The 22,507-nt window shown below is 41.5% G+C and overlaps 1 protein-coding gene across 10 annotated transcripts in view, besides 2 other annotated features; it reads right to left on the bottom strand.

The window, feature by feature from the left end:
- TENT4B (terminal nucleotidyltransferase 4B) overlaps nucleotides 1-22,507 on the bottom strand; it is an 82,400-nt gene that overhangs the window by 33,007 nt on the left and 26,886 nt on the right. The gene's annotated exons all lie outside the window — the stretch shown is intronic.
- Nucleotides 17,203-17,764: an enhancer, noted in NCBI's record as "H3K4me1 hESC enhancer chr16:50218451-50219012 (GRCh37/hg19 assembly coordinates)". NCBI's record gives its function as "activates a minimal SCP1, AML or CMV promoter by ChIP-STARR-seq in primed H9 embryonic stem cells {active_cell/tissue: H9 hESC(primed)}" and the evidence as "EXISTENCE:reporter gene assay evidence [ECO:0000049][PMID:30033119]".
- Nucleotides 17,765-18,327: an enhancer, noted in NCBI's record as "H3K4me1 hESC enhancer chr16:50217888-50218450 (GRCh37/hg19 assembly coordinates)". NCBI's record gives its function as "activates a minimal SCP1, AML or CMV promoter by ChIP-STARR-seq in primed H9 embryonic stem cells {active_cell/tissue: H9 hESC(primed)}" and the evidence as "EXISTENCE:reporter gene assay evidence [ECO:0000049][PMID:30033119]".

Genomic DNA, 22,507 nt, shown 5'->3' with positions numbered 1-22,507 from the left:
TGTTAAAAATACAACCATTTGTAACATCTTTCCCTATGTTACAGTACAGGTAAAAGAAGCACAGAACTACCAAAGGGGCACCTTACATTCAAGGACTCCTACATATGAAAATTCCAGTATCCAAAACATACTAGTGGTGATTATTTGCTCAATAAATAATTTATATTAAATAGGACAAGCTCCCACACGTATTTCAAATGTTTTAACTATTAGTAGTGGTTACTTGGATAATGAAACTGAAAACAAGACTAATTTGGAGAAAAGATATCACAACTTTCTTTTTCTGCACTGTTGAAATCTTTTGGCTAAGTGCTGGTATTTTTTTTTTTTCTTTAGGGACGATGTCTCACTATGTTGTCTAGGCTGGTCTCAAACTCCTGAGCTCAAGCAATCTGAGCACCTCAGCCTCCCAAAGTGCTAGGGTTACAGGTGTGCACCACTGTATCCAGCCCGCTTTTTTTTTTTTTTTTTTTAAATAGAGTATCCCTCTTTCACCCAGGCTGGAATACAGTGGCTCACTCCAACCTCTGCCTCCAGGGTCCAAGTGATTCTCATGTCTCAGCCTCCCCAGCAGCTGAAATTACAGGTGCGCACTACCACATCCAGCTAATTTTTGTATTTTTGGTAGAGATGGGGTTTCGCCATGTTCGCCAGGCTGGTCTTGAACTCCTGACCACAAGAGATCTACCTGCCTTGGCTTCCCAAAGTGCTGGGATTATAGGTGTGAGCCACCTCAGCCAGCCACTGCTGGCATTTTTTTTTTTCTTGAGACAGAGTCTTGCTCTATCGCCAAGGTTGGAGTGCAGTGGCGCGATCTCGGCTCACTGCAACCTCTGCCTCCCAGGTTCAATCGATTCTCATGCCTCAGCCTCCTAAGTAGCTGGGATTACTGACATGCGCCACCACGCCCAGCTAATTTTTGTATTTTTAGTAGAGACAGCGTTTCACCATGTTGGCCAGGCTGGTCTCAAACTCCTGACCTCAGGAGATCCACCTGCCTCAGCCTCCCAAAGTGCTAGGATTACAGGCGTGAGCCACCGCATCCAGCCCAGGGCTGGTATTTTTAAAAGCAAAAAAACAAAACCAAATTGATTCACAAAGAATCCATTTACATATTCACCAAAAACATAATGTGTACAAATGTAGACTGACTTTTATGAGGTCCTATATTTTTTCAAAATTAACAAATAAAAAATAAATTCTGAGCTAGGCTAAGTGGCTCAGGCCTATAATCAGCACTTTGGGAGGCTGAGGGCTGGAAGATTGCCTGAGGCCAGGAGTTCAAGACCACCTGGGTAACATGGCGAGATCCCACCTCTACAAAAAAAAACTCTTTTAAATTAGCAGGGCATGGTGGTGTGTGCCTATAGTCCCAGCTACTCGGAAGGCTGAGGCAAGAGGATTGCTTGAGGCTGGGAGAAGTTGAGGCTGCAGTGAGCCATGTTCATGCCACTGCACTCTAGCCTGGGCAACAGAGTGAGAACTTGTCTCAATAAAAAAAAAAAATAAAAAACACAAAAATAAAGCAAAAGGCAGGTATTCAAAATAGACAAAGAACTCATGATATTCAACAATAAGAAAATGAACCCATTTTTTAAAATGGGCAGAAGACCTAAACAAAGGCCTCACTAAAGAAGATACATAGATGAGAAGTAAACATATTAAAAAGATGCTCAATGTCATATATCATTGATTAAAACAAGTGAGACAGCATTATATACCTAATAGAATATTCAAAATCCAGAACACTGACAACACCAAATGCTGGTGAGGATGTGCAACAACAGACTCTCATTCATTGCTGGTAGGAATGCAAAATGGCGCAGCCACTTTGAAAGACAGTTTTTTCTTTTTTCTTTTCTCTTCTATTTATTTATTTACTTATTTTTGCTTCCTTACCCTCTGACTCATCTTTTTTTCTTTTCTCTTTTTTTTTTTAAGTCAGGGTCTTGCTTTGTCACCCAGGCAGCAGTGCAGTGGTATGATCACAGTTTACTGCCACCTCCAGCTCCTGGGCTCAAGTGATCCTCCCACCTCAGTCTCCCAAGCAGTTAGGACTATAGGCACATAAGACCACGCCCAGCTAATTTTTAAATTTTTTGTAGAGATGAGGTCTCACTATGTTGCCCAGGCTAGTCTCGAACTCCTGGCTTCAAGGGATCCTCCTGTCTCAGCCTCCCATTATGCTAGGATTACAGGCATGAGCCACCACACCCAGCTGGCAGTTCCTTAGCAAACTAAACATACTTTTACCATACAATCCAGCAACTGCACTCCTTGGTATTTACCATAATGAACTGAAAACCAATGTCCACACACAAAAAAACCTACACAGAAGTTTACAGCAGCCTTATTCATAATTGTCACACTGGGCACAGTGGTGTATAGCTGTAATCCCAGTTACCCAGGAGGCTGAGGAGAGGGGTTCACATCAGCCCAGGTGTTCAGGAGACCAGTATGGAAAACACAATGACACCCTGTCTTAAAAAATTTTTTAAATTATCAAAACTTGGAAGCAATCAAAATGACCTTCAGTAGGTGAATGGATCAATTGTGGTATATCCATAGAATGGAATATTATTCAGGACTAAAAAGAAATGAGCTATCAATCCAGGAAAAGGCATGAAGGAATCCTAAATGCATATTACTACGTAAAAGAAGCCAATCTGAAAAGGTTACATGCTGTATGATTCCAAGGGTGTGACATTCTGGGAAAGGCAAAACTATGGAGACAGTAAACAGATCAGTGTTTGCCAGGGGCTAAGGGGAGGGATAAATTAATAGGTGAAACACAAAATTTTTAGAGCACAAATGTGTCCAGCACCCTTTATTGAATGTTCCATCCTTTTCTCAATGACTGAGTAAATGCTGCTCCAGTATGCCCAATGGCCTGTCCCCTTACTCCCCCACTAGTAATTCTACCACCCCACACACTTTCTTTGGGAAACAATTCATATCCCTACTATTCCATGTGATTCTGGTGAGGCTGCACTGCAAAGCCAGCTGGCAGTTCAGGGCAGGAACAGCCATGCGTGGCCCCCAGTTAGTGTAGCATCCCCATGGTCATGGGCCAGGGATGGGCACATGGCCCCAGCACCCCACGTGGTATCTTCCTTAGGACTTTACACACTGACTCTAAGGAAGGTCACTTCCCTCTTTGATCTCAAGCTATAAAAATAGAAGCCTGGAAGTATCAAAAAACCACACCTCCTTTCCTCTGGCTGCACAAAGGAAGCCATTAGCAACAGGAGAGAATGGAGCCAACCCCAAAAAGAATCAAAGTCAGGGGAGAGATAGGCACTTGAGCTTTCTCTGGAGTCACTAAAGCAAATACCACCTTTGCGTAAGCAATTATGAGTTTATTTACCTTGCACCTGAAAGACTCCTGATTCACACACAAAGACTTTGATTATATATACTCTCATGGATAGCTGGATCAGGTCTTAAGTGTTCTTTCAGATCTATGGCTATTTCTGTCTATTCGAGGGCTCAGATTACCCTTTAAAATTCATGTAAAATCTATAAGTAGTTGACAGTACAAAACCAATCGTCTTCCAAACTCATCTTTAGTTTTCAAAATGTTCTTGGCTATTCTTGCCTGCTTATTCTTCCAGATGCTCTTTAGAATCATTTTAACAAATGACTCTCCCACCCTCCCCACAAAAAAATCAGTGGGATTTTAATTTAAATTATATTAATTAATACATTAGTGAGTTGATCTGATATCTTCAAGTTTTTTTTTAAAATGCAACCCACTGTAAAGATTTTTATATTTTCTTCACTTTTCTGGCTTTGCTCTAAATTATCTTAGGGATTTGATGCTCTAGTAAGTGAAATTATTTTTTCTTTTACTTTCCTTTCCTTTTCTTCTTTTTTTTTTTTTTTTAGACAGAGTCTCACTTTGTCACCCAGGCTGGAGTGCAGTGGCGTGATCTCAGCTCACTATAACCTGTGCTTCTCAGGTTCAAATGATCCTCCAACCTCAGCCTCCAAAGTAGCTGGGACTATAGGAGCTCACCACCACACGTGGCTAATTTTTTTGTATTTTTTGTAGAGACGGGGTTTTGCCATGTTGCCTAGGATGGTCTTGAACTCCTGAGCTCAAGAGATCCACCCACGTTGGCCTCCCAAAGTGCTAGGATTACAGTCATGGGCCACTGTGCCCGGCTTTTTTTTTTTTTTTTAATTATATTTTCTGTCACATATTACAGATACTGACTTTTGTGTGTTTATTTTGTAGCCAAGCAGGCAGTTTTCTTGCCCTACTACATTGGCTAGAATTACTAAAATAAGATCAAATAACATGGTGAGGGCAGGCATCCTGTCTTGTTACGGATTTAATGTGTTAAATCAAGTTTAGCCTAAAACTGTCTCCTTACATATTTTAAGTTTGACCTACAGGTTTTTCTGTCCATAATGAACTATAACCAAAATGGAGATGTAAACAGACTATAACCTGCTCTTGTGCCAATCACCGAGTTTTGGCCAATCAAAGGTGGCCAACTGTACAAACCTCAACTTGTGTTCAAATAAGGCAAATTCAGAGCTGTAACCAATCCGGCTGTTTCTGTACCTCACTTCCGTTTTCGGTACATCACTTTCCTCTTTCCATTCATAAATCTTTTTCCACGACATGGCTGTGCTGGAGTCTCTGAACCTACTCTGGCTCGGGAGGCTGCCCAATTTGCAAATCATTCTTTGCTCAATTAAACCATTAAATGGCATGGTGGCTCACGCCTGTAATCCCAGCACTTTCAGAGGCCCAGGCAGGCAGATTGCTTGAGCCCAGGAGTTCAAGACCAGACTGGGCAACATGGCAAAACCCCATGTCTACAAAAAATACAAAAATCACCCAGGCGTGGTGGTGCACACCTGTAGTCCCAGCTACGCAGGAGGCTGAGGCAGGAAAATCACTTGAACCCAGAAGGCGGAGGTTGCAGTGAGCTGTGCTTGCACCACTGCACTCCAGCCTGGGTGACAAAGCAAGACTCTGTCTCCAAAAAAAACTTAAATTTAATTTGGCTAAGGTTTTTCTTTTAACAAATGGGAAGTGTCTCTAGTGTTTCACATAATGTGTACTGGTTTGAAAGTACCACTCTTTATCAGCTCTTTAACAGGTTAAGGAAACACCTTTATATTCCAAGTTTACCAAAGGTTGTTGTACTCTGTTTTTTTTTTGTTTTTTGTTTTTTTTTTAGAGATGGGGTCTTGCTATCATCCCCAGGCTGGAAGGCAGTGGCACAATCACATCTCACTGCAGCATCAAGCTCCTGGGCTCAAGTGACTCTCCTGACTTAGCCTCCCAAGTAGCTGAGACTACAGGCATGTGCCCACATCCTGCTTAAAGTTGTACTATTTTTTTTTTTTTGAGACAGGGTTTCGTTCTGTTACCCACACTGGAATGCAGTGGCACAACCATAGCTCACTGCAGCCTTTACTTCCTGGGCTCAAGCAATCCCCCTGCCTCAGCCCCACTGTAGCTGGGACTACAGCTGCATGCCATCACACCCAGCTAATTTTTGTCTATTTTTTTTTTTTTTGTAGAGACAGGATTTCACCATGTTGCCCAGGCTGGTCTCAAACTCCTGGCTCAAGCGATCTGCCCGCCTTGGCCTCCCAAAGTGCTGGGATTACAGGCATGAGGCACTACCCCTGGCCAGTTGTACTCTTTTTAACAGACATATTTAAGATTTCACTCCATACTTTCAACAAGCATCTATTGTATTTTTTGCAGAATAAAGCAACATTGGTAGCTTCTTCCTTTCATGATGAAGGAGATGATGATGATGATGATGATGATGATGATGATGATGATAATGATAAACTAAAAGCTACTCTAAGTATATGGCTTCCCGGTAAACAAATTTCACAAACAAGGCACTCATACTGTGGTAACAACAAAAATGTTTTAAGTCAAACAAAAGCCCACTACTATAATAAATCTTTTTTTTCACACTCCTAATTAGGTAACTCTCTTAACCAAATAAATAGCAAACAAAACAAAATAAAAACAATACATCTAATACTGCCATTGGGCTGCCAACCAGCAGATCACAGGATGACATTTTCTGGATATGCACAAAACTGAAAACATTTCAGATATTTTCTATAATTCTTTGAGTATAAAAATTTTCTGGACTATGTACTGTTTCATCTTATCAAATCCCTCAGACCAAATTTATTTAGATACATATGTTGCATTTACCACCTAATTTCTCTTAAACTTTGCTGTCTACAGAAGTTATTAGCAGGCACATCTGTGTACAATATACTGTAAAGTTCTACATTGACTATTTCTTCCGCTCCAAAGCAGGGCCTGGGATGATTACCATTCCAAGAGTATTTCTACTATATCTATTGTAGACAACACAGAACTTTATCAAAATAATGCTTACTCATTAGCCCTGTAAAGGCCTCCCACTGAAGTTATCTTTATTCCTGAATACAGTATAAGATCTTTAAGACCTATGGACAAAATAAGAGATCTACTATATAGCTCACAAAATTGTAAAATTTATATGTATATTTTTTATACCTTTATACATTTACATGTCTTTTGGAAGATACTGTGAACACTGATAATTTTAAAGAGGCCTCATTTAGTTTCATTAATGAAAATGATATGCATAAGTACTGCACACTTTCCTCTTTACATGCTAAAACTTGAATAATGACAAAAATATGCTGTACACTAAGCCAGACATAATTTAAAGCCTCCTTTTGTTTTCATGACTCAGGACCATCATTAAACACACCCATAATTGTCCAGTATCATTCCAAGTAGCTTGGGGTCTAAATCTGGACTCTGCTATGGGCTCACTCTTCCTGCTTAATTCTGACTTCCTCCCCTTTCCTCTTTCAGTTTTCATTCCGCTTAACACAGTCATTAATAGAAAGTAAACTCACTGAGAGCCAAAGGATTTCTCCAAAAGAATCAAGTTCGTACTTTCAATGCTAGGCTTTCAAAGCTATATGATGAGATAAGAGTGCCTTCCACATTTCCTTAGCTGTGCTTTGGAGGGGGTATCACCAGGACAAAGCATCTAACTTCTGTATGGTACCTCATATTTTTCAAAGAAGCTCTTACCTATTCTCTGTTTCAGTCATCCACAATAATCCTGTGAATCAAACTAGGCAGAATTTAACTTCTAATTAAAAAAATGTTTATGGGAAATAATCGATTTCCCTAAGATCACATAGAAAATCAATTAAACAAGCCTGGGCAGTCTACAAAAAAAAATTTAAAAATTAGCCAGGCCGGGTGCAGTGGCTCATGCCTGTAATCCCAGCACTTTGGGAGGCCGAGGCAGGCGGATCACAAGGTCAGGAGATCGAGACCATCCTGGCTAACACGGTGAAACCCCGTCTCTACTAAAAAATACAAAAAATTAGCCGGGCATGGTGGCGGGCGCCTGTAGTCCCAGCTACTTGGGAGGCTGAGGCAGGAGAATGATGTGAACCTGGGAGGCAGAGCTTGCAGTGAGCCGAGATCGCGCCACTGCACTCCAGCCTGGGTGACAGAGCGAGACTCCGTCTCAAAAAAAAAAAAAAAAAAAAAATTAGCCAAGCACGGTGGCTAGCGCCTGTAGTTCCAGCTACTGTGGGGGAAAGGAGCGGGTGGGGGTGGAGGGGTGCTGAAGTGCAAGTATCGCTTGAGCCCAGGAAATTGATGCTCCAGTGAGCCATGACTGCACCACTGCGCTTCAGCCTGGGCAACAGAGCAAGACCCTGTCTCAAAGCAAATTCAATGAACCTGAAAAAAAGAAAAAGAAAGAAAGAAAGAAATAATGGCCAGGCATGGTGGCTCATGCATATAATCACAGCGCTTTGGGAGGCAGAGGCGGGTGGATCGCCTGAGGTCAGAAGTTCAAGACCAGCCTGGCCAACGTGATGAAACCCCGTCTCTACAAAAATACAAAAACTAGCCAGGCAAGATGGCAGGTGCCTGTAATCTCAGCAACTCAGGAGGCTGAGATGGGAGAATCGCTTGAACCCGAGAGGCAGAGGTTGCAGTGAACTGAGATTGCACCATTGCACTCCAGCCTGGGCGACAGAGCAAGACTCCGTCTCAGAGAAAAAAAAAAAAAGAAAGAAAAGAGAAAGAAAGAACAGAAAAAAGAAAAGAGAGAGAAGATACTATCTCAAAAGAGAAAAAAATTTATGAAAATCAATAATCAAAATGAAATAGGAAAAAAACAGATCTCACTTGAACACACCAAATATTAGGACCACAGAGGTAAAGCCATGGGACTTGAAATCCTGGCTCAGACTTTTCTAGCTGAGTGCCCTTTCAAAAGTTACCAACAGTCCTCATTCTCAGTCTCCGCATCTATAAAAAAGGGACATTAATGCCCACTCCACAGCTCTGTGGGGTGCTAAGCCCAGTGGCCGGGAAGTCCCCACTTGACCTTCAGCTTTAGCAGCCATGGGATTTCATGAGTTCACAAGGGCAATGAGAGAGTATGACGGTCATTACTCTAAGACAGGTCTGCCAAAACAGTGATCACTTCCTATGGCAGCCACCAGCCCTCCTCCTCATCCTTCAGGAATCCTTTACTCCTCCTCATTACCTACATTCCCACAAACACTTATGGAAGGTGACAACATGCCCAGGCTTTTGTCCAACCAACCATCAGACAAACCTCCTCTTAAAGACTCCAGGACCTGGCCAGGCGCGGTGACTCACACCTGTAATCCCAACACTTTGGGAGGCCGAGGCAGGTGGATCACGAGGTCAGGAGATCGAGACCATCCTAGCAAACACGGTGAAATCCCATCTCTACTAAAAATAGAAAAAAATTGGCCGGGCGTGGCGGTGGGCACCTGTAGTCCCAGCTACTCGGGAGGCTGAGGCAGGAGAATTGCTTGAGCCCAGGAGGCAGAGGTTGCAGTGAGCCGAGATCGTGCCACTGCACTCCAGCCTGGGCGACAGAGCAAAACTCCGTCTCACAAAAAAAAAAAAAAAAAAAAAACTCCAGGAACTGCTGCTATGGGCCCACCACTCCTCTTTACCGGCCTGACTCTCCTAACCCTTTGGTCCTTTGCCTGAACCAAAAAGCTAACTCCAAAGTATTTCTAAAAGAATGCAAGTATCTGACAGTTCCACCACCTTTAACATCTCCTAATTCCTCTCTACCAGAAGTCAGCAAACCACACCCAATGGCCATACCCAGCTCACCTCCAGCCTCTGATTTTTGTATAGTCCACAAGCTAATAATGTATTCATTCATTCACTGAGACAGGGTCTCACTCTGTCACCTAGGCTAGAGTGCAGTGGCACAAACCACTGTAGCCTTGACTTCCTCGGGTTCAGGCAATCCTCCTACCTCAGCCTCCCAAGTAGCTGGGACCACAGGCACATAACACCATGCCCAGCTAATTTTTTGTAGAGACAGGGTTTCATCACATTGCTCAGGCTGATCTCAAGCTCCTGGGCTCCAGCAATCCACCCAGCCTCCCAAAGTGCTGGGATTACAAGCATGAGCCACCACGCCTGGCCTGTTTTTACATTTTTTAATGGTTGAAAAGAAGTCAAAAGAAGAATTATACAGGAGACACATGAAAATTATGTGCAATTCAAATTACAGTGTACACAGTTTTATTAGAATAGTCATGTACATTCATCTATATATTGTCAATGGCTTTCTCAGTTGTAGTTAAGACAGAGACCACAGATTCAACAAAGCTGAAAACAACTATCTTTACAGGAAAAGTCTGCTGCCCCTGGTAATACACAGGCTCCATAATATATTCAACAGTAACTTGATAGGTCAAGTCTACCAAGTTACACTGTGCATTTCTCTGCATTGCCTTGTACATTTATTTGAGGGTAATGAAATCTATAGATGCACCTATTGTGTACTCATAATAATTTTAAAAAAAATTTTAAAGAAATCTATAGAATTAAAGTTTTTAGAAGTGCACTATGGTAACAACTGTCTCCTCAACATCCTCCACGATCTCATCCCAGTTCATGTCAAAGGGTCAATTAAGAAGGTCATACTTGCTTGACAACTTGTTGTATAGGAAGAAAAAAGATCACATTTATTAATGATTTTTTTTTTTTTTTTTGAGACAGAGTCTTGCTCTGTCACCCAGGCTGGAGTGTGATCTCAGCTCACTGTAGCCTCCACCTCCCAGGTCCAAGCATTCTCCAGCCTCAGCCTCCTGAGTAGCTGGGATTACAGGTGCTTACCACCATGCGTGGCTAATTTTTGTATTTTTAGCAGAGACAGGGTTTCACCATGTTGCCCAGGCTGGTATCGAACTCCTGACCCCAGTGATCTGCCCACCTCGGCCTCTCAAAGCACTGGGATTACAAGCGTGAGACACCATGCCCGGCCTATTAATGATATATATATTTTGTTTGTTTGTTTGTTTTTTTGAGATGGAGTTTTGCTCTTGTTGCCCAGGCTGGAGGGCAATGGTGCGATCTCGACTCACCGCAACCTCCGCCTCCCAGGTTCAAGTGATTCTCCTGCCTCAGCCTCCCCAGTAGCTGGGATTACAGGCATGTGCCACCATGCCCGGCTAATTTTGTATTTTTAGTAGAGACAGGGTTTCTCCATGTTGGTCAGGCTGGTCTCGAACTCGCGACCTCAGGTGATCTGCCCGCCTCGGCCTCCCAAAGTGCTGGGATTACAGGCATGAGCCACTGCGCCTGGCCTATTAATGATATTTTTAAAGGCTTGGTGTTAGCTGCTATGTGTTTAGTTATATATTTAAATTTGGGCTGGGCATGGTGGCTCACGCCTATAATCCGAACACTTTGGGAGGCTGAAGCAGGAGGACTGCTTGAGCCCAGGAGTTCATGACCAGCCTGGGCAACACAGTAAGATGCCATCTCTACAAAAAAAATTAAAAATAAATAAATAATGTTAAACATACTTTAAAAGTAGCCATTAGGATGGCTATTCTATCAAAAAAAATACTAAGTGTTAGCAAGGATGTGAAGAAATCAGAGCCCTCGTACATTGCTGGGGGGAATGTACAATGGTACAGCTGTGTGGAAAACAGCATGGCACTTCCTCAAAAAAAAAACCAGACACGGAATTACCATATGATCCAGCAATTCCACTTCTGGGCATATACTTAAAGAATTGATAGCAGAAACTCAAATAGATACTTGTACAGCTATAGCAACATGATTCAAGACAGCCGATAGGTAAAAGCAACCCAAATGTCCAGTGATGGATAAATGGAGAAACAAATTGTGACATATACATACAATGGAATATTATTCAACCTTAAAAGGAAAGTCATGTTGACATATGCTACAACATGGATGAACCTTGAGGACATTAAGCTAATGAAATAAGCTGGTCACAAAAGGATAAATACTGGTTGATTTCACTTATGTGAGGTACCTAGAGTAGTAAAATCTCTGTCAGAAAGATAAAAATGTAGAACGGTGGCTGCCAGGGCTGGAGGAAGGGGAGAAGGGAGAGTTCATGTTTAATGTATACAGAGTTTCAAATGGAGGAGATGAAAAGTTTCTGCAAACAGATGGTGGTGATAATTGCACAGTAACGTGAATGTATTTAATGCCACTGAACTGCAGGCTTAAATGGTTAAGATAGTAAATTGTATGCTATATGTATTCTACTATAATGTTTTAAAATGTAGCTACCCAAAAGAATTGTCATTAACGAAATGTGGCATATCCATACAATGGACATAAAAAGGAACAAAGTATTGAAACATGCTGCAACATGGATGAACCTTGAAAATACTATGCTAGGTAAAAGAAGCCAGACACAAAAGACATGATTCCATTTATATAAAATATGCAGAATAGGCAAATCTATACAGACATAAAGATTATTGGGCCATGAGGACTGAATGTTCAACAGGTACAGAGTATCCATCTGGGGCAAAAACGTTCTGAAACTAGACAGTAACAGTGGTTGCACTAAACTGGGACTGTACTTAATGTCACTGAATTGTACCAATTAAAATGCTTACAAGGTAAATGTTGTTTTATGTATTTTACTACAATTTTTCAAAAGCATTCAAAAATGCACTGTTCTTAAAAAAAATCCAACAGCTCAAGTAGATATCATGTAGCTGATCAGCAGAGATACATCGCTGAAGAACTAAGTATTATACTATGGTATAATATCAATACTAGCAATGTTATTTCACATAAATGCTCTAGTTTGTGAAAACAAATACCAAAAATACATTTCTTTCTTTCTTTTCTTTTCTTTGTTTTTTTTTTTTTTTTTTGAAACAGAGTCTCACTCTGTTGCCTAGGCTGGAGTGCAGTGGCACAATCTCAGCTCACTGCAATCTCCCCTTCCCAAGTTCAAGTGATTCTCCTGCCTCAGTCTCCTGAGTAGCTAGGATTACAGGCATGCACCACTACGCCAGGCTAATTTTGCATTTTTAGTAGAGATGGGGTTTCACCATGTTGGCCAGGCTGGTCTCGAACTCCTGATCTCAAGTGATCTGCCTGCCTCACTCCTGACCTCAAGTGATCTGCCTGCCTCGGCCTCCCAAAGTGCTGGGATTACGTGAGCTACCACACCCAGCCAAAAATGCTATTTTCTTAATAAATATAATTATCTGGTTATTTTTTGATGCAAATGTAGAAAAACACTGTATTTTTATAGAAATGCTGAATTACATCCTGGAATTGCATTAGGGCACTACTTCATGTTATGCACAGAAGATAAATAAGATGTGTTATATACAGAGGAGTCCACACTAACAAGAAATGCACCACATGCTGGGACATTTCAGAGAGAATAGAGGGGATATCCTCACAGAGACAGCCCAGGGCCTCAGTTCATGTTTTAGTCATTTGCCCCCAGACCTGTCTGGAGAGTTGGAGGTTCTTTCCTCAAAAAACATTAGGAAAAAGTAGAAACAAGTGCCAAAAGCATTTATAATCAAAGGGACATGAAGGTTCTTTCTTTGCAGTTTTATCTTGCCATAACGCACTTGCAATATTTTAAAATCAAACTGGCACAGTCTCACACTTTAAATAGGGACAACTCAGTTGAGAATTTAACAGTGAGAAGACAAGGTACTCCAGGGTCATATAAACCACATTAAAAAAAACTAATGTGGTAAAAGCCAACTTGACAGAATTTTGACAGCACAATTATTTTTAAATACAAACATCCTATCTCTAAGATTAAGAATAAAAGCTTTTATTTTGTTTGTATTCAATGGAAACAGCCTTCCTACAAGCAATAAGAAAAGCTGAAGTTACAATGGAATTAAGAAAAAGATACGGATCACCAGCTAAAACTAAGAAATCCTAAGATTCCTAGATCTACCACGCAGGGAAGCAGAGGCAACACAGAGTAGACAACAGTGAGATGTCCTATAAATGGTTACTATGGGAAAAGGGAGGGTGGGGAGCAGAACAAGCTCTGCCTGCCAAACCAGAAATGTCAGCATGTATCTTGTTTTGTTTTTTAAAAACCCAAGGTATCAGGGTCTTGCTATGTTGCCCAGGCTGGAGCACAATGGCTATTCACAGGCACAATCACAGCTCACTACAGCCCTCAAAGTCCTGTGCTCAAGCAATCCTCCTGCCTCAGCCTCCCTAGTAGCTGGGAATACAGGCACAGGCCACAGTACCCAAGTTGTTTAAAACTGGATGAAAAAATTAAATGTACAAGCAGGATAGGGAATAAAGCAATGTTTCATAATATTGAGACATGTCGTAAACTGGGTCTGCTAACACTTCTCAAGGTCTATACATTCTCTATAAGAATTTTTAAATGCTGTGTTTTCATTTCAAAATTACACTAAAACATTAGTATAAGCCTGTTCTGGATCATCGAGATGCTTCCCTAGAAACACAGAGCTGCCCAGAGATTTCACAGCCCACGTGTGCTGTTGTGTTTACCATCAGGCTAAGGCCAAACAATACAATTTTAACTAATTTGTACTAACAATCAAGAACGGAGTAAGACCTGATCCCTGCATAATATACATGCCAAGCGAAGGGCAGAAGGCACCCCTCCAAGGTTTTATAGTTCTCAGAGAAAAGTGATGAGGGAACTGAGTTACCTCATGGCAAGGTAACAGAAGCCATTGCCAAAGCCTCCAAATCTGCCACGGCCTCCAAATCTGCCACAGCAACAATACCATATTCACAATGAGAGGAGCAACTGGAATAAACATCATCGGCTCCATAAAAGTAATTTTAATTTTACTGATTTTGTCATTTTATCTGTCTTTAACTTGTAAACTTATTTTCTTTTTATAATCTGTAAGCAGGCCAGGTGTAGTGGTTCACACCTGTCATCTCAGCACTGCAGGCCAAGGTGAGAGGAACTGCTTGAGCCCAGGAGTTCAAGACCAGCCTGGACAACAGAGTAAGCTGCTGTCTCAATTTTTAAAAAATAAAGAAAGAAAAGAATGCATACAAGTTTAAATATTTTATGCATCAGAGGTTTTTTTTTCTTCTTTTTTTAAAATATAGAGATGGGGTCTTGCTGCTATATTGCCCAGGCTGGTCTCAAACTCCTCGGCTCAAGGAATCCTCCCACCTTGACCTCTCAAAGTGCTGCAATTACAAGCATGAGCCACCGTGCCAGGCCTTATGTGCATTCCTAAGTAACATAATAATAAAAATAACTTCAGCTAGGGTACCAAGACCATTCACAGTTGAGAAAGGATAGTCTTTTCAACAAATAGTGATGGGAAAACTGGATATCCACAGGCAAAAGACTCAAGTTTGACTTTTACCCCCCACCCCGCACGATGGAGTCTCGCTCTGTCGCCCAGGCTGGAGTGCAGTGGCACAATCTCGGCTCACTGCAACCTCCGCCTCCTGTGTTCAAGCAATTCTCCTGCCTCAGCCTCCCAAGTAGCTGGGACCACAGGTATGCATCACCATGCCTGGCTAATTTTTGTATTTTTAGTAGAGACAGGGTTTCGGCATGTTGGCCAGGCTGGTCTCAAACTCCTGACCTCAGGTGATCCATCCGCCTCGGCCTCCCCAAGTAGTGGGATTACAGGCGTGAGCCACTGCGCCCAGAGCCTCAAGTGTGACTCTCAAACTGTATACAAAAATTAACTCAAAATGGATCAAAGACCTAAACTTAGGAGCTAAAATCATAAAACTGCAGAAAGAAAACACTGAGGGAAAGCTTCATGACACTGCATTTGGCAATGGTCTCTTAGATATATGACACCAAATGTACAGGTAACAAGATAAAAAATAAACTTCATCAAAATTGAAAGCTTTTGTGCATCAAAGGACACTATCAAGAGAGTAAAGGCCATGTGCAGGGGCTTACACCTATAATCTCAGCACTCTGAGAAGCCGAGGTAGGAGGATTGCTTGAAGCCAGGAGTTCAAGACCAGCCTGGGCAACAAAGTGAGACCTTATCCCTTCAAAAAATAAAAAAATTAAAAATTAAAAAAAGAAAAATAAATGAAAATAAAAATTAAAAAATTGGCAGAGTGCAGTGGCCCACGCCTACAATCCTAGCACTTTGGGAGGCCAAGGCAGGTGCCACTTGAGGTCAGGCAAGATGGTGCCACTGTTCTCCAGCCTGGGCAACAGAGTGAGATTCCGTCTCAAAAAAAAAAGTGCAAAGGACCTTATGGGGAGAGACTGGAGCCCTTGAACTTTGCTTGTGGGAAGGTAAAATGATTTAGCTATGGTGGAAAAGTCTGGCCATCCCTCAAAGAGTTAAACATAGAATTATCATATGATCCAGCAATTCCACTCCTAGGTATGGAACCAAAAGAACTGAAATCAGAGATTCAAACAAATATTTGGTTATCAATGTTCACGGCAGCATTATTCACAACAGGTAAAGGGGGAAACAATTCAAATGTCCATCAAGGTTGAATGAAAAAACAAAATGTGGTATATATAAACAATGTAATATTAACTATCTCTAAAAACATTAAAGTGATACAAGCTACCACATGGACAAACCTTGGAATCAGCCTGCTAGATGATGAAAGCCAGGAACATAATTAAAACAAAGCATCACAAGAAGAAAAAAAAGCCAGAAACAAAGCGACAAATATGTAGGATTCCACTTAGATGGAAGAGGCAAATTGATAGAGATAGAAAGTAGAATGGTGATTGCCAGCATCTAGTTGCAGGGAAGGAGTGATAAACTATTGTTTAATGAGTACAGAGTTTCTGTTTAGGATGATGAAAAGTTCTGGCAATGGACAATGGTGATGGTTATACAACACTGTGAATGTACTTAATGCCACTGACTTGTAAACTTAAAAATGGCTAAAATGGTAAATTTTATCTTATGTATATTTTACCACAATAAGAAAAACGTTAAGCTAACACTGGATATCTATAAAAATGTTTTGTGCAGAACTTAATTTGAGAAACACCACTACAGAATTAAAAGTAAAAATTACACCATTTATGTAATGTTTAAAAATACAGACAATAGTGTACTAATAGATGTAAACATAGATGAGAGCATAAAAGTACGGATGGAAAGGGCACACATTTGCCTCTGAGGACAGGTCACCTCTGAGGAAGTGGGGGTAAGGGGGAGTGAGAGGTATGCCAAGGGTGTGCAGGTGAATCTGAGTAGTTGCATTCCTTAAGAAAAGAGAGAGGGAGGAAGGGAAGGAAGGAGGGAATAAAGGAAATCAAATGTGTCAAATCCCAGTGGAAGGTAACCAGAGCTTCGATACGTTACTCTGCATCCTCTTCACGTGTTAAGTAATTATAAAAACAAACTCTGAAATCACTAAAAATCAAAGGTTTACACAATAAGGAAGCATGTAAATTAAAACTTCCCTCAACCATTTTACACAGTGAATGAACAGATGACCCATTGACACAGGGAAATGTTCCAGAACTTACCATAAAGACCAGCTTGAACTTTCCTTCCCTCCTCCCTCCTCACAGATCTAAGATGCCATGAACAGTCAACTGGAGTTGCCAATCACCATTCACTAGCCAGACTTCTCTCTCACTTCATGACCATAATTGGTCCTGTACTTTGTACTTGCCTCCAAAACTGCAAGTTAAGTAAGCATTAATCCCCATTAGAAGTAAGGTGAAAGCTGCAGCATTCCTCTCGATATACAAGTAAATTCCTACTAGGCTAGTAATACACAGTAAGATTGGTTGATAATTTACTTACTGCAAGTAACTGAAAATTGTCATTACTTAGATGCAGAAATTCCCACAGAAGCCAGAAACTTGGAAGCAAACTACAACTTGGAGCTTGCTTCTTTGCTAGTCATACCAAGACTACCCAAAGAGTATCAGGGTGGAAATAACCCTAGCGCCTCTCTCTCTTTCTCACTCGCCTGCACAATCAGGTCTTTTATTTTCTTTTTAGGCAAAGCACTATTTCCATCTAAGTACAGGGAATGTGAGAACACAACAGGCTCAATTAACACTCAGAACCAAAAGTGGGGATACTCCTAGATATTGACCCAAGAGAAATGAAAAATGTATGCTCACACAAAAATTGCAGCATGATACTCAGGAGCCTGAGGCACAAGAATCACTAGAACCAGGGGGCGGAGGAGGCTGCAGTAAGCCTACTACACTCCAGCCTGCGTAACAGAGTGAGACTGTGCCCTCCGCTCCCCCCACAAACAAAACAAAACAAAATAAAAAAAAACCCTCAAGCATGATGGCAGCATTATTCTCTTTTTTTTTTCTTTTTGAGATGGAGTCTCGCTCTGTCGCCCAGGCTGGAGTGCAGTGGCGCCATCTCGGCTCACTGCCAGCTCCGCCTCCCGGGTTTACGCCATTCTCCTGCCTCAGCCTCCTGCGTAGCTGGGACTATAGGCGCCCGCCACCACGCCCGGCTAATTTTTTGTTTTTTAGTAGAGACGGGGTTTCACCGTGTTAGCCAGGATGGTCTCGATCTCCTGACCCTCGTATCCACCCGCCTCAGCCTCCCAAAGTGCTGGGATTACAGGCGTGAGCCACCGCGCCCGGCCGGCAGCATTACTCTTAATAGTCAATGGAAAACAACCTAAATGTCCATCAACTGATGAATAGATAAACAAAACATGGTATAACCATACAATGGAATATTACCCAGCCACATAAAGGATAAAGTAATGATACATGCTATAACACAGATGGACCTGGAAGACATTATTCTAAGTGAAAAAAGGCAGACATCAAAAGCCATTAATTTTGGCCTTCCAAAATTAATGTATTATACTACTGTATTGTGCATTCCATTAATATGAAATGTCCAAAACAGTCAAATCCGTGGAGACAAAAAGTATTCTGATGGTTGCCTAGTGCTGGGAGGTTAGGGGAGAAATGAGGAGGAACGACTAATGAATACAAAGTTTCTTTTTGGGTTGATGAAAATGTTCTACAACTTATTCTGGTGATGGTTGCACAACTCTAGGAATACATTAAAACATAAAAGATATAATTCACCCACTTTAAATGGGTTAGCCACCACGCCTGGCTAATTTTGTATTTTTAGTAGAGACGGGGTTTCACCATGTTGGCCAGGCTGGTCTCAAACTCCTGACCTCAGGTGATCTGCCCACCTCGGCCTCCCAAAGTGCTGGGATTACAGGCATGAGCTACCGCGCCTGGCCAAATCTGCCCAATTCTTTTGCAGATGCTTCTCCACTGGAAGACACAAATGCCCATTTCTGAAACGGCTAAATCTCTCAACTTATCGAGTTCCTGTGTATGTGATCTTCTGGCCAAGGACACACAATTTTCTAATTCAATGGTGCCAAGTACACTATTACTTCACTTTCAGATAAGAAGGTGATTAATAAAACAGGAATTCAAAGTACTGTAAAAATAAGAATTCCAAAAAAAAAAAAAAAAGGGTTTTTAAGTGACTAAGTATAACAAGAAAAATAGAAAGACCAGCACATTAATGAACCTTCAAAGTATGACAACACAACCAACACAGTCATACATCTCAAAACACACACACACACTCCAATGAACACACCAGGCAAAAATCCCACAACCGCTACAGCAAGATAAAATACAAGAAAGCAGCCAGGCACGGTGGCTCACACCTGTAATCCCAGCACTTTGGGAGGCTCAGGTGGGTGGATCACCTGAGGTCGGGAGTTTGAGACCAGCCTGACCAACATGGAGGAACCCCGTCTCTACTAAAAATAGAAAAATTAGCCGGGTGTGGTGGCACATGCCTGTAATCCCAGCTACTTGGGAGGCTGAGGCAGAAGAATCGCTTGAACCTGGGAGGCAGAGGTTGCGGTGAGTCGAGATTGGGCCATTGCACTCCAGCCTGGGTGACAAGAGTGAAACTCCATCTCAAAAATAAATAAATAAATAAAAATAAAAAAAAAATACAAGAAAGCCGGGTGTGGTGCTGCACACCTATAATCCCAGCTACTCCGGAGGCTGAGGCAGAAGGATTGCTTGAGCCCAGCCTAGGCAACTTGGCCTAACTCAAAAAAAAAAAAAAAAAAAAAAAAAAAAAAAGGTAAAATAAAACTTGCTGTACTTGGTAGACCTTGAGTGTTAAAAGTTTTCCTCATTCACTGTTAAACCTCACAATCTTTCTGGCAACATACATGAATCTCAGCAATCTTATTTTGAGGAACACAGATGGAAATACTAGGTGAAAAGTAAATAACTTTTCAGGAAAGAAGCTTCTAGCACTTTATTTACAATAGAAAATAAGAAGCAATTTAGATGTCCAAGAATAAGAGAATGCTTAAGTAAACCTTGGCATGTTCACATAGGAAAGTGTATTTACAAAAAAAGCTATATATGTCAACTATATAAATACATGGAAAAGACCATGTAAAATGTAAACTAGGAGACACATTAAGACCTTTCATGTTGACAAAAATTATTTTTCACAAGGGATCTTTTACAATGACACAATACTATCAGCTTAAGGGGACTAAGAAATAGTTGATACTTTATAACGAAGAGGTATTTTGAAATTCTAGGCATTTGGAGTTAATATTTTAGTCAAGTTGAACAAATGTAGGAGAAAAATTAATAAATATACAACCTATAGTTTCTAACACTGACATGAAGCACCAAAGAAAACGCAGAGCACATCAAATTAAGTTTTCTCTTGATGATTCTTTTTCTCCTTTTTTTATGGCAGGGTTTCACTCTGTTGCCCGGGCTGTAGTGTAGTCTTGGCTCACTGCAACCTCTGCCTCCCAGGCTCAAGCGATCCTCCCGCCTCAGCCTACTGAGTAGCTGGGACCACATGCACGTACCACTGCATCCAGCAAATTTTTGTATTTTTGGTAGAGACAGGGTTTCACCATGTTGCCTAGGCTGGTCTTGAACTCCTGAGCTCAAGCAATCTGCCCACCTCGGCCTCCTACTAAAGGGCTGAGATTACAGGCATGAGCCACCATGCCTGGCATCTCTTGATGATTCTTGATGTTTTGACACAATTATTCTGGTTACTATCACCTGGTATTTACATCACTAACCTAATCTAGCATTTTTAATAAAATGTTTCCAGGTCAGTGACTAGCACACAAGCACTGAGCATAATTCTCCTGAGTACCCACCTCATCTCCATCACCTCTGCAGCAGTTTGGCTGAAAGACAATTTAGCAGGACCAATAAAACACTTAAAATGTCCACTCTCTGTCCCAGAAGACACAGCACATGTACATAAAGAGGCATGTGCAAAAACAATCACTACAGCCCTGCAAATGAAAACACTGGAAACAACCTCTGTGTTCATCAGTAGGAATGTGGCTTTTAAAAACTATGGTTTTTAAATAAAGTGAAGGCTGGGCATGGTGGCTCACACCTATAATCTCAGCACTCTGGAAGGCCGAGGCAGGTGAGTTGCTTGAGCTCAGGAGTTCAAGACCAGCCTGGACAACATGGTGAAACTCTGTCTCTATAAAAAAAAAAAAAAAAAAAAATACAATAGCTGGATATGATGTTGTGTGCCTATAGTCCCAGGTACTCCAAGAGGCTGAGCCAGAGGTTGCAGTGAGCCAAGATCACACCACTGCACCCCAGCCTAGGCAACCCTATCTCAGGGGAAAAAAAAAAAAAAGTTCAAATCCATGATTGCAGGTGGCTTGAATCAGACTGATAAAGGGCATTTCAAGGCACACTGTCTCCACATTTAAATCCACAAACACACCTCCTTTGTGACTCTCCAACAATATAAATATTCTGTCTTGCTTAAAAACAAATCCAGTTAAAAACAAAGAAAAACCCAACACTTTTGTACAAGACCAATTTTTTAAAACTTACACATAATTTCACAATTTAATATTTTTACTTTTAATCCAAAAAGCAATTGTGTTACAAGGCCTGAGCCAAACTTCACTTCATTACAATAATGTCTGTGGCCCACATAACTATTTTGTAGTTGTTTAATTCACTTGTTATGGTTCTAATCAATACAGAAAAATCAGTGAGGAAGAAAACTATTCTATTTTAAGGAAGCAAAACTATTCTATTTTAATAGTTTGGAAGTTTGAGGACTTCCAACAGTTCATCTCACTCTTGGACTACTAATCTCCTCTACAGCAATGGGGTCCCTTAGACCCCACTGCCCCTTCTTGAGGGATTTTGACAATTGGCCAGGTTTGGGAACCTATAGTTTAATAGCGCCTTTGGGCAGCAGTTTTCAACCTTTACTGCATACGATTTTTTTTTTTTTTTTTGAGATGGAGTCTCGCTCTGTCACCCAGGCTGGAGTGCAGGGGCACGATCTTGCCTCACTGCAACCTCCACCTCCTAAGTTAAAGCGATTCTCATGCCTCAACTTCCAGAGTAGCTGGGACCACAGGCACATGCCATCATACCCGGCTAATTTTTTTGTATTTTTAGTAGAAACAGGGTTTCGCCATGTTGGCCAGGGTGGCCTTGAACTCCTGGCCTCAAGTGATCTGCCCACCTCGGCCTCCCAAAGTGTGAGATTACAGGCATGAACCACCGCAACTGGCCTATTATTTCAAAAAATATGTGAAGGCTGGGCACAGTGGCTCATGCCTGTAATCCCAGCACTCTGGGAGGCTGAGGCAGGCAGATCACAAGGTTAGGAGTTCGAGACCAACCTGACCAACCATGGTGAAATCCCGTCTCTAATAAAAATACAAAAATTAGCCAGGCATGGTGGCACACACCTGTAATCTCAGCTACTCAGGAAGCTAAGGCAGAAGAATCACTTGAAACTGGGAGGCAGAGGTTGCAGTAAGCTGAGATCGCACCATTGCACTCCAGCCTGGGCAAAAGAGCGAGACGCCATCTCAAAAAAAAAAGAAAAAGAAAAAAAGAAAGTGAAAACTATCACTCCCCTACAAATGTATTTTATCAGAGTACCTGAGAAGTGGGTTCTAGTCACTAATTTTTTTTTTAACTTCCTCAGATTGAGAACCGCACTTAGAAGGAGCTGCTTTAGGAGTTATCACTATCAAGCCCACTGAGCCCATCATCATTATCTGCATGGTCCACAGGAAACCCAACGGTATGGCAGAAGACAAGGTGAAGCACCAAGCCCTGGTTTTATTTGATTTAACAGACTTGGGCTGACAGGACCAGATTCTAGAGGCACACTAGGACACATTACAGACTAG

This window comes from Homo sapiens, chromosome 16 (genome assembly GCF_000001405.40).
Source record: "Homo sapiens chromosome 16, GRCh38.p14 Primary Assembly".
Classification (NCBI taxonomy): Eukaryota; Metazoa; Chordata; class Mammalia; order Primates; family Hominidae; genus Homo; species Homo sapiens.
This window is presented reverse-complemented; position numbering and strand designations above follow the sequence as displayed.